Source organism: Homo sapiens, chromosome 22 (genome assembly GCF_000001405.40).
Source record: "Homo sapiens chromosome 22, GRCh38.p14 Primary Assembly".
NCBI classification, from domain to species: domain Eukaryota; kingdom Metazoa; phylum Chordata; class Mammalia; order Primates; family Hominidae; genus Homo; species Homo sapiens.
This window is the reverse complement of record NC_000022.11, coordinates 21,764,480-21,776,766: the sequence shown is the minus strand read 5'-3', so window position 1 is coordinate 21,776,766 and position 12,287 is coordinate 21,764,480. Positions and strand designations below refer to the sequence as shown.

At 47.3% G+C, this 12,287-nt stretch overlaps 1 protein-coding gene across 2 annotated transcripts in view, besides 3 other annotated features; it reads left to right on the top strand.

Annotated features, from left to right (window-relative positions):
• The window catches only part of MAPK1 (mitogen-activated protein kinase 1), a 108,024-nt gene that overhangs the window by 90,914 nt on the left and 4,823 nt on the right, over positions 1–12,287 (top strand). Inside the window, exons 7-8 of one of the 2 annotated variants that reach the window (NM_002745.5) lie at positions 3,785–3,894; positions 7,447–7,572. In NM_002745.5, coding sequence (NP_002736.3) covers positions 3,785–3,894; positions 7,447–7,563 — 227 coding nt within the window. In that variant the 3' untranslated portion in view covers positions 7,564–7,572. Of the gene's footprint in view, positions 1–3,784; positions 3,895–7,446; positions 7,738–12,287 lie in introns of those variants that run through there. The other variant, NM_138957.3, reaches the window with a different exon arrangement.
• Positions 9,616–9,685: an enhancer, noted in NCBI's record as "active region_18710". NCBI's record gives its function as "activates an Ori minimal core promoter by ATAC-STARR-seq in GM12878 lymphoblastoid cells {active_cell/tissue: GM12878}" and the evidence as "EXISTENCE:reporter gene assay evidence [ECO:0000049][PMID:35858748]".
• Positions 11,996–12,045: an enhancer, noted in NCBI's record as "active region_18709". NCBI's record gives its function as "activates an Ori minimal core promoter by ATAC-STARR-seq in GM12878 lymphoblastoid cells {active_cell/tissue: GM12878}" and the evidence as "EXISTENCE:reporter gene assay evidence [ECO:0000049][PMID:35858748]".
• Positions 12,056–12,105: an enhancer, noted in NCBI's record as "active region_18708". NCBI's record gives its function as "activates an Ori minimal core promoter by ATAC-STARR-seq in GM12878 lymphoblastoid cells {active_cell/tissue: GM12878}" and the evidence as "EXISTENCE:reporter gene assay evidence [ECO:0000049][PMID:35858748]".

The following is a 12,287-nucleotide window of genomic DNA, read 5'->3' as shown; positions in this document are numbered from 1 at the left end:
GTTAAAGCTGTTTTAATAATCTTCTTAAAGAGTTACTCACACTGCTCTCTATGTTGCCATCAGCACTTGTGGCACAGGAGCAATGATGAGCAGAGTCCCCAGCACCACAGGCAGGTCAAGGCAGTGGAACTAGAGAGGTTACTGAGCTCTGCACTGCCACACCCCCACTGCTCAAAACCAGTGCCAGTAAAAAGTACTCACCATATTAAATCCATCCTTAATACATGTCTTCACGATGTCTGTGTGACAAACACGTATAGCATTTCTGCTGCATACTGAATGCAGTGGTTTTCTCAGGGAAAAGCACTTATGTAACTATTTGAGCTATGAGCAGAATTAACTGGTTTTTAAATCGTCCCTCAGTTTTGATGAGTATAAAGAGTTCTGAGATCAGAAAGTTTGAGAAGCACTGTCGCACTGGCACACTTTGCACAGTTCAGTCTTTTCTCTGGCCCCGCACAGAAACATGAGTTGAGGATGGAAGTGACAGGTTGCAGCATTGATTCAGGGTCAGAGTTTCACGAGGCAGGCAAGATAGACATGAAGAGGCACTGTGGAGAGCCAGTCAATGGCTTTCCCCAGGTCCAGGACAGGGCAAGAAGGAAAAAAGGATGATGGATTAGAAGAAAGGGTTGGAATCAGGTTGTTACATACTATTTGAAGTTAAAGAGAAGGGCCAGGCTGGCCAGGCGCGGTGGGTCACACCTGTAATCCCAGCACTTTGGGAGGCCAAGGCGGGTGGATCACGAGGCCAGGAGTTTGAGAACACGCTGGCCAACATGGTGAAACCCCCGTCTCTACTAAAAATACAAAAAATTAGCCTGGCGTGGTGGCAGGCACCTGTAATCCCAGCTACTCGGGAGGCTGAGGCAGGAGAATCGCTTGAACCCAGGAGGTGGAGGTTGCAGTGAGCCGAGACAGCGCCACTGCACTCCAGCCTGGGCAACAGAGTGAGACTCCCGTTTCAAAAAAAAAAAGACAAGGGCCAGGCACAGTGGCTCACACCTGTAATCTCAGCACTTTGGGAGGCTTAGGCAGGAGGATCACTTGAGCCCAGGAGTTCAAGACCAGCCTGGGCAACATAGTGACTCCCCATCTCTACAGAAAAATTAATTTAAAAAAATTAGCTGGGTGTGGTAACATGTGCCTGTAGTACCAGCTACTCGAGAGGCTGAGGCAGGAGGATTGCTTGAGCCCAGGAGTTCAAGGCTGCAGTAAGCTATGATCATGCCACTGCACTCCAGCCTGGGCCATAGAACAAAATCCAAACTCTGTTTTAAAAAACACAGAAAGAGAAAATGTAGTATTCTGGAAGGCACTAGGGAAAGTCAGGATTTGTGGTCAGGAGTAATACTAGCCTCAAAGGGACTTCCAGTCTTTTAGGGGAAATAAAACCTGTATCCAAGTAAGCATCCACACAGGCAGCCATGATTCACACCATCTGAGTGTTACCAATGAATGCCCATGTGGCGTGGGAGGAGGGAGTCCGGACATTCTTGACTGTGGGATCCGCACCTGCCAGCTGCTTCCCGGTTCTCTCCTTTTCTCCTTCTGTAGCTATGAATAATGTAGAAATAGCACTTGCAGTAACAGAAGGCTGGAGATCTAGCTACTTTTCAAGTAGCAAATCTTTTTTTAAAAAGCTGTCTTCTTTGAAATTTATGCCTGGAGGTTTAAGGGCCTAGAATTTATTTAACTTTAAGGAACTAATGGATCTGTTTTAGAAATGCTTAAGCTGCAAAACATCCAGTTGGCTTGGAGTGCCTGTCTACTTAATACGAACAAGTTTGAGTAGGACCCTTCTGCCCCCAGTGGTTTAGAAGTAATACTGTTAGAATCTTATTGTGGTCCAGGCCTTCTGGACTTTTCTTAGCACAGACAGTATCTAATTGGGTGAAAAGCCAAATGACTTAATCTAGTTTCAAGAAAGTCCTTGAGAAAATGTCTGTGAGTTCTATGTGGGGAGGGCTGGTTGGGAGCAGGAAGCAAAGTGGGATTTATTACCTATATTATAGACCACAGGAATCTTTTTTTTTTTTTTTTTTTTTTTTTGAGACGGAGTCTCGCTCTGTCGCCCAGGCTGGAGTGCAGTGGCGCAATCTCGGCTCACTGCAAGCTCCGCCTCTCGGGTTCACGCCATTCTCCTGCCTCAGCCTCCGAAGTAGCTGGGACTACAGGCGCCCACCACCATGCCCGGCTAATTTTTTTTGCATTTTTAGTAGAGACGGGGTTTCACCGTTTTAGCCAGGATGGTCTCGATCTCCTGACCTTGTGATCCGCCCGCCTTGGCCTCCCAAAGTGCTGGGATTACAGGCGTGAGCCCCCGTGCCCAGCCAACCACAGGAATCTTAAGATTCGGCAAGGGTTGTGTGTCTTGCACACATATCTACAAGTGTTCCTTGGAAGTAGGATTTGAACCAGAGATTCCTGGGTTCTTGACCATCATGCGTCTTTGTCCTGACCCTTGAGAGGGCCACTTCCTAAACCTAGCCAGTTTGTGTGCCCACAGACCCAGGGTCACAGCTGCAGGCATGACCACCTCTTCTACTGCGCAGACACTCCTTCAGTCACAGCAAAACCTGTCTGGATTCTCTACTCTGAAAAGTTATCTAGGCTATAAAACAAAATATCATTATTCCGTAATTTCCTAAAGTGCACTTGTATGTATTGAAAAGATTATAGATAGAAACATACATAACTTTTAAATGTTTTCTATGCGGAATTTCTCATTATGTCCAGCATGTGGTTTACCATGTTTATCATCTCCTGTTGTCTTAAGGTCAGGGGTTGCAACAAGGGAGGTCAAAATTGGCCGGGGCTGAGCACAAATACACACCCACAGCCCTTCAGTGACCTCAGGCAGCAAGATGCCTCCCACCTCCCCCCAGCACCCAAGCAATCCCTTCGGAAGGTCTACTGATTGTTCTTAAGGGTTAGGAAACATTTTCTTAGTAAATAGTGAAAACTTACTTTTTGAAAGTAGTGGCTAGAAGTGATTCCTTAAACTGATCATGAGTATTAAATTGTACCAAATTTTACGTGATTGTTTATCATTTTAGGAATGGTGAGAAGGGACATACAATTAAATTTTAAAATGTTTTAAGAAGAAATAATGATATTTTATCATTCTACTTTGAGGGCTTAATAGTATGTGCTAATTTGCAGATGGATGAAGTTGACCTTTACCTACAAATAACCTAATAAGAAATGATCATTGCTGGCCGGGCGCGATGGCTCACGCCTGTAATCCCAGCACTTTGGGAGGCTGAGGCAGGCGGATCACGAGGTCAGGAAATCGAGACCATCCTGGCTAACACGGTGAAACCCCATCTCTACTAAAAATACAAAAAATTAGCCGGGTGTGGTGGCGGGCGCCTGTAGTCCCAGCTACTCAGGAGGCTGAGGCAGGAGAATGGCATGAACCCGGGAGGCGGAGCTTGCAGTGAGCCGAGATTGCACCACTGCACTCCAGCCTGGGCGACAGAGCGAGACTCCGTCTCAAAAAAAAAAAAAAAAAAAAAAAAAAGAAATGATCATTGTCAGAAAAGACGCTTCATTAAGTAGTGCCAGTGTTTTTGTTTGCGGTCTGCAATTGTCAGATGGTCGGTCCCTATGTTCACAGTCTCGGGAGGCTTGGAGATATAGTCAGCACCCTTTGTGCTGGCTGCTCTCTCTGTAGTCATGCTTAGCTCAGTTGTTTTGTGGGTAAGTTACTTAAACAGGAAATTGAAGTATTTCTGTGACTACTTCTGCTCTCACTACTGCAAAACCTTTCTCTTTATAGCTCTGGACTTATTGGACAAAATGTTGACATTCAACCCACACAAGAGGATTGAAGTAGAACAGGCTCTGGCCCACCCATATCTGGAGCAGTATTACGACCCGAGTGACGAGGTAAGAGCTCATGTTCCTGGCTGCTGCTTCAGGGACATAGATCAGCCAGCAGTGGACCAACCATATCTTGCTTAGATTTTCCTGAGATATACCTGCTGCCATACCCGGTTCTTCCAACAAGCCCACCTTTGCCTTGAGGACGAGTGCTGTGGGGCACAGCTTGAAATCCCTCCCCCCGTAACTCTGTCTATCTCAGAAGACTTCCTCCAGGCCACCTGCAACAGGTAGGGGCGGGGTAAACGCATGTATAAAGGGGACAGCTGCACCAGTATGGAGCACAGAGGGCATGGGTCTGAGACTGGAGGCCATTGTCATGGTGTGACAGGAAGAGACACCTGAAGTGAAGTGCTGGCCCTGAGGATGGCCGGGGTGGAGAGGAGGTGGGCAGCCTGCTGACAGGGACAGCACACAGAGTGGGGAGGGAAGTCAACTTGGACAGTTTCCACTGTGGCTTGGCGACTCCATGTCGGGTGTGCTATTCCCTAGAGACAAGGACACGAGAGCCTGTTGTAAGAAGTGATGAGGCCAGAGTGGATATGGCAGCTCTTCAGAGCAGGCAGGGCATTCAGGTAGAAGATGCTGCATGTCATGTTCTCCCCAAGACAGTCCTAGTGCCTTGGCTCTCTGGTGTCTCTGGGGTTCAATTTTAACTTTATTCTCTGGAGGATAACAAAGAAAAATGCAATATGAACCAAAAGTTTGGATTGTTGTAGTTGAGGCTCATATGCACAGAGAATAGTCTTTACCCTCCTATTTTTGAAAGAATCAGCTTTCCCTTCCACATCCATCTCTCTGCCTCCAGCAACAAGTTAGGCAGCTTGTGAAATACCTACAACATAGCCAGTAACACAGAATAGGAGAGAATACAGGTTTGGGGCTCTTACAAGCTTAGTGGGCTGGAGATTTCCCAAGCTTCCGAGTCCAAATCAGCTGGCTGGGGTGGTGGGTGATGCGTGTAGGACACCTCCTGTGATCCCAGATGCATAGCCCTCCTTCGGGCTGAGCTATTTATTCTTCTGGACATGAGTCCTTCTCCCCTTTCAGATGGCCAAAGCTTAGTGCAGAGTTTGGGGTCTGTGCTTCCTCCCCCTAAAGGCCCCATGTGAGGATTACATGGGTGAGAGGTGAGATTCTAGGCATTCACTGATTGACAGCTGGTATTATCATCAGCTTAGTTCTGTAACATTGCATTAGTTCACGGGCATTTAAAAATCAAAATGTGGCCAGGCATGGTGGCTCACACCTGTAGTCCCAGCTATTCAGAAGGCTGAGGTGGAAAGATCTCTTGAGCCCAGGAGATCGAGGTTTCAGTGAGCTGTGATCACACCACTGCACTCCAGCTTCGGTGACAGAGCAAAACTCTTTCTCTAAAAAATAATAATCAGTTTGTCACTGAGTGTGTATGGGGTTCTTTGATCTAAATAGACAGTTTATATTTTACTTAAATAGCTTTCTGGAGTATGGTTAAAAATTAAAATGGGGGCTGGGCGCAGTGGCTCACGCCTGTAATCCCAGCACTTTGGGAGGCCGAGGCAGGAGGATCACTTGAGGTCAGGAGTTCAAGCCCAGCCTGGCCAACATGGGGAAACCCCGTCTCTACTAAAAATACAAAAATAGCTGGGCGTGGTAGTACATGTTTGTAATCCCAGCTACTCTGGAGGCTGAGGCATAAGAATTGCTTGACCCCGGGAAGCAGAGGTTGCAGCGAGCCAAGATCATGCCAGTACACACCAGCCTAGGCAATAGAATGAGACTCAGTCTCAAAAAAAAAAATGGGGCCAGGTATGGTGGCTCACACTTGTAATCACAGCACTTTGGGAGGCCAAGGTTGGTGGATCACCTGAGGTTAGGAGTTCGAGACCAGCCTGGCCAACATAGTGAAACCCTGTCTCTACTAAAAATACAAAAATTAGCCAAGTGTGGTGCCAGGCGCCTATAATCCCAGGTACTCCGGAGGCTGAGGCAGGAGAATCGCTTGAACCCAGGAGGCAGAGGTTGCAGTAAGCCGGGATCGTACCACTGCACTCCAGCCTGGGCAACAAAGCGAGGTTTTGTATAGAAAAAAAAAGAGAAAAGCAAACTTGTAAGAAAATACAGGAGAGATTTTTTTCATACTACAAATATGTAGCTTTATAATCTTGTTACAGTTACTAACATTTTGGAGTATTTCCTTCTCAGTCTTGTATTTCTGTATCTAAATTTTAAAAATAAAATAGTTTTCATTCTCTTGACACAACATAGGCATTTTCCTATTAATCTTCCTTGCAGCTTAATTTTGTTTTCTTTTTTGAGATGGAGTCTTGCTCTGTCACCAGGCCAGGCTGGAGTACCGTGGTGTGATCTCGGCTCACTTCAACCTCCACCTCCCAGGTTCAAGCAATTCTCCTGCCTCAGCCTCCCGAGTAGCTGGGACTACAGGCACGCACCACCACACCCAGCTAATTTTTGTATTTTTAGTAGAGACGGAGTTTCACTGTGTTGGCCAGGATGGTCTCAATATCTTGACCTCATGATCCACCTGCCTCGGTCTCCCAAAGTGCTGGGATTACAGGTGTGAGCCACCGTGCCTGGCCAGTTTTTTTTATTTTTCTTTGAGATGGAATCTTGCTCTGTTGCCTCGGCCAGAGTGCCGTGGCGCAATCTCGGCTCACTGCAACCTCCGCCTCCTGGATTCAAGCAATTCTCCTTCCTCAGCCTCCCGAGTAGCTGGGACGACGGGGGCCTGCCACCATGCCTAGCTAATTTTTGTGTATTTTTAGTAGAGATGGAGTTTCACTATGTTGGTCAGGCTGGTCTCATGATCCTCCCACCTTGGCCTCCCAACGTGCTGGGATTACAGATGTGAGCCACTGCGCCTGGCCTTGCAGCTTAATTTTTAACAGCTCTAAGATGTTTTTTCATACAAAGATACCATGATTTATTTAATGAAATGCATGTATTTTAGTATTATGGGTGTTGATTGGATAAACGTACCACCACCCCAACAGCAGCACATTTCTCTTATTTCGACATTCACTGCCTTAAAACATTTAAAAATTATTCTGGGATTTGTGGTAAGTTCAGAAAAACACTTGAAACAGATTCAGTTGCTCCCAGGCTAAGTGTTTATGAGAACTTGAGGAGTGTGGGCACAACTCTCAGTCTCTCTCTGTCACCCAGACTGGAGTGCAGTGGCACGATCTCAGCTCACTGCAACCTCTGCCTCCTGGGTTCAAGCGATTCTCCTGCCTCAGCCTCCTGAGTAGCTGAGATTATAGGCGTGCACCACCACACTCGGCTAATTTTTTGTATTTTTGGTAGAGATGGGGTTTCACCATGTTGGGCCAGGCTGGTCTCGAACTCCTGACCTCAAGTGATCCGCCTGCCTCAGCCTCCCAAAATGCTGGGATTACAGGTGTGAGCCACCGCGCCCGGCCATCAACTCTTAAGTTTTTATGAGACATCAGTCCTGTTGTAAATTCAGAATCTGAGCAGTGGTCATTTTATGAATCAGTAAATTACTGCCTTACCCATAACAACTTTGACTGTTAAATGTTTTGTTTTCTTTTAAAGCCCATCGCCGAAGCACCATTCAAGTTCGACATGGAATTGGATGACTTGCCTAAGGAAAAGCTCAAAGAACTAATTTTTGAAGAGACTGCTAGATTCCAGCCAGGATACAGATCTTAAATTTGTCAGGTACCTGGAGTTTAATACAGTGAGCTCTAGCAAGGGAGGCGCTGCCTTTTGTTTCTAGAATATTATGTTCCTCAAGGTCCATTATTTTGTATTCTTTTCCAAGCTCCTTATTGGAAGGTATTTTTTTAAATTTAGAATTAAAAATTATTTAGAAAGTTACATATATTCTCCTAGGAATCTCTCTCTCGTTTATTAGAAACTCCAAGTACCTCCTTTACTCTCAAGGGTAGTGAATGTGATTATTTGGAAACAACTTTTTCATATTCCAGATTGTTCATCTTTGGGTTCTCATCCTTTCCTTGCTGCCTGTCCAGAGCAGTTTCACAGTTACATGAGCATCTCTCTGGAAAGGGTTCGCCTCAGGACTCCCTCCCATGGAAAGCAGAGCCACCAGTTAAATAAATTTAGTATTAGAGTCCTCTGTGCCTGCCCCTTCAGAAACTCCTAGCTGGGACCTGGTTCTACAGTTGATGTCACATGCAAGGGGCCCAGACCCTGTTACCAGTTCAGACTAGCAGTGTAGGCTGGAGAGCTGGAGAAACTTCATCCAGGAGATGGAGGCTGGGCTGGCCAGTCAGGGGGATTTACATGGGCCTGCACAGAAGCTACATGTGCTTAGATCATAAGGGAAGGTGAACAATGTGACAATATTGGTAGATTTTAAAAATTGAGCAGGCCCAACACAATGGCTCATGCCTATAATCCCAGCACTTTGAGAGGCTGAGGGGAGAGGATCGCTTGAATCTCAGAGTCCAAGGCTGCAATGAGCTATGATTGTATCACTGCACTCCATCCTGGGTGAACCCTGTGTCAGAAAAGAAAAGTATACAGGAAAAGAATGCAAATCTTGATTTTAGAGAGTATGTGACAAGAGGAGAGAGAACTGGACTTGTGTTTAGAACTCTATAGAAAGAAGCAGTGAATAAAGAATTGTGGGCCAGGTGCGGTGGCTCACACCTGTAATCCCAGCACTTTGGGAGGCCGAGGCAGGTGGATCACGAGGTCAGGAGATCGAGACCACGGTGAAACCCCGTCTCTACTAAAAATACAAAAAATTAGCTGGGCACAGTGGCAGGCGCCTGTAGTCCCAGCTACTCGGGAGGCTGAGGCAGGAGAATGGCGTGAACCCGGGAGGCGGAGCTTGCAGCAAGCCGAGATTGCGCCACTGCACTCCAGCCTGGGCGACAGAGCAAGACTCCGTCTCAAAAAAAAAAAAAAAAAAAAAGAATTGTGAGCCAAGGTAGAAGCAGTTGCTGGGGAGATGCTTTGGACAGAACCGTGTTGCAGTTAGAGGCGTCCATTCCCCGTCAGTAAGAACAAAGAACCAAGTAGACATGAGCTGAGGACTGACATGACCAACTCAGCCTCCAAGCAGATAGCCCTGAAAGCCAGGCAGGGCAACAGAACGAGGAATTGGTAGGGAATAGACACTAGTAGTTTGGGGGCCGGAAAATGGTGTTTTCAAAAGTCTGACATCAAAGCAGGAGGGGTTGAAATGAGGGAATACTGGGTAGGAGATCAGCTAAGAACAAATGCCTGGTCTTCCATACCAAAGGGGCCGTAGCCTTGGACTAGAAATGAAGTGGTGAGAAGCGGCAAATTCAAGAGGAGGAGGAAAGGCAAAGTCTTAAAGACTCCAAGTTTTCTAAACCTACCAACTTGGGGGAGGCAGGGCTGCTGGCACTGTTAAGCCCTCACTTAGCCTGCTGTTAACACCAGACGCACCCCAAAAGACGATCTCTCAAACCCAAGGGAAGTGTTGTGGAGTCACGCGAACAGGACGTGCAGTGGACTGCTAGCCATAAGCCTTGCGGAGTGACTGAGAAAGAAGCCTGTTATCAGCAGGGGCTGAGCTGGTTCATGTCTTCTGTTGCCCCATACACATGTGGCTCTCTAGTGGAGGAGGTGTTAGCCACAGTGATTTGCACAATCACTCACTGACAGAAAGCTGGGCCCCAGGATCCAACCATTTTCACACCTGCAGTCCCCACAGAACTTCCTTCCTGGCTCCTCTGTGAGGTGCTCACAGTGGAGCAATTGTCTCTGTTTCTCAAGAGTCCGTCCCTCTCCCTCCGTGAGGCTCCAGGACACACTCCCAGTGTCTGTACAAGGTCAGGTTAACTAGACCTTGGTCAGCCCGCTGCCTTTCCTCTACAGCAGCGGCGTGGGGTAGTCATAACAGACCTGGATGGCCTGTGAGGCCTGCCCTTCTGTGAAGAGCACTCTCTTGCCGTTTACAGAACCTAGAATATTGAGCTGAGCAACTTCTGTTGCTTTTCTTCCTTCACAGTTCCTTTCACAGTCATTTTCCCTCAGCCAGGTGGTGGCTTGTGAGCATCTCATCTCTGTCGCTTCAGGTCAGGCGGCAGTGCTGCCTGCTTAGTCTGCATTAGACACTAACAGCAAACGCGGCAAGCAGGACCTAAACACAGCCTCAGAGGGGCCCATGTAGTAGGGGAGAAAGACACACACACACACAACTGTGCACATTTTTAGTATAAAAGAGCTTCTGGGGTTGACGTGATAATTTGTTTTTCATCATTTAATCAGCATTGAGCACTTCCTTTCGCCAGTTAGGAAAGGAACAAAGATGAATAAAACCCAGGTTTTGCTTTCCAGCAGCCTCATAGCAGGAAATGTAAACAACAAGGAGTATACAGAGTCCCAGAGATGGACACAGGCATGGTGGGTCCCAGAGAGTAAGGCAGACATTAAAGCCTCACAGAGTGTGGCCGACTCGCGGCAGTTGTGCTGCAGCTGAAACCTGACAGTTGGGTTCTTTGCTGGTTGGGGAGGGGCACAGCTGTGTGGACCCTGGAAGGCGGGCATGCCAGACAGCTGGGCAAGAGGGGGGCTGCAGAGAAAGAGGCCAGCCCAGGCTGTGGCCCTTGCTTCCCCAGGAGGCCAGCTCTCCCTCACAGGTAGCTGCCTGACCTGAAGCAGTGGCTCAGGTGACTCTGGTGGCAGTAAGGATGCAGGAGGACCTCTGAGAGCAGGGACTTGGGGGAAAACTGGTCAGGCCACTGAAGAGACAGGCAGCACCGCAGGCACAAGGATGGCAAGACAGAGGCAGGGTTGCTCCTGAGGCCACAGGGCGCAGTTGCTGGCAGAACGCCTCCTGAAGCCAGCTTTGCAAGGCGGGGGACCAGTATCCCTCTCAGGTCCACCACCACTCTGAGAGTCCCGGCGTGGCAAGGACAGTCACCTCTGTGCGTTGTTCATTTGCTCCAGACACAGAAGACACACAGATGCTCCCTATGTGCTTATAGCATGATTTTTTTTCCCAACATTCTTTTAGTGACAGTTTTCAACTATTCTGAAAAGTTGAAGGAATTTAAAGTAGACACCCATATTCCCACCACCTAGATTATACAGTTAACATTAACATCTTACTTGTTTTCTCATAGATCTGTCCATCTGTTCCTCTATCCACCCATCAACCCATCGCATTTTATCCATTCATTGCAAAGGACGTTGCCAACGTCTAGACTGACTTACAATTTAGTCATCTAGAATATCACATGAATCCAGGGGAAGCTGGGGCTGGGTTGGCTGATTAAACTATGGGATAGGTTCTTTCATAAACATTTCATTTTGGTGATCACAACAGAATTTTGGGAAGTCAGCATGCATCCATGTTTATAATTGAGGAAACTGAAGACAGGAGCCTTTGAGCACTTCGCTCAAAATTGTACATCAAGTGGCAAAACTAGGCAGAGAATCCAGGTATTTTGGACCCAGAATGTCATTTTCTTGAAATGTTTGCCAGCATGAAACAGTGGCAGGCTGCACACTGCCTGTGATTAGCCTTGCTCCTTGGGAAAGTTCTCAGGACTCATTCACAATACTAAGGAGCATTGTCTCTGAGTTCCCAGCCCACACACTGGAGATCAGGAGCTCTGAATTGGAGAGCTCAGGAGGTAAAGGTGTAATAAAACATGGGAACACTGGGAGGGCACGGTTGACCGTTTGGCTGCAGCAAGAAAGGCTTAGAAACATACACCCCAGGACCACAGAGCACAGCTGTGGGGCCCCTTTGGTAGAGGAAGCAATGAAGTGATATTTGTAGTGGTGGCCGAAAGGTCTTAAAAAAGGGTCAAATTATATTCATTGTATTTTGCTTAAGGGGGTCAGTTTTAGAAATGTTTCCATGGGCAAGTTTAAAAGCTGATCATGCCTACTACCTGTGACAAGCCTCATTCCTACCCAGCCCATGTCCTCAGTCTCCTACCCTGTGAGGCGGGTGAAGGTAGAGGTCAGTGCTCAACTTCCTTCTTCATCTGCCTGATTGTGAATTTTCTCAGGTGGATTGATCACTAGGGGCATGAACCGCATTTCCCTTTGGTTTATTGAAGATGAAAGCATTTTAGGGCAGCTTTAATTTCCTGCCAACCCGTAGGTTTGGCTGCAGTTCACCTCTACATAAAAGAGACCACTTCTCCCTCTTAGCCCATCTCCAAGTCCACAGTTTGGCTATAGTTAGCCCATTCTTCTTGCCCCACCTCCTGAGTGGCAGATGGAAACCACAGCTCTGAAAGTGCTCTGTGAAATAGTAAGTGATACTCTGCTAGATTTTCATGCACTAGTGTTGGATATCTTACGGTAAATAAAGGACATCTTAGGAACACTGCAGTCAGCGTAGGCTGGGGGAGTGGCGTCTTTCCTATGAGTGTTGTGGAAACCACCTCAGAACTGTCTGAGAGGAGGTGCCTGTG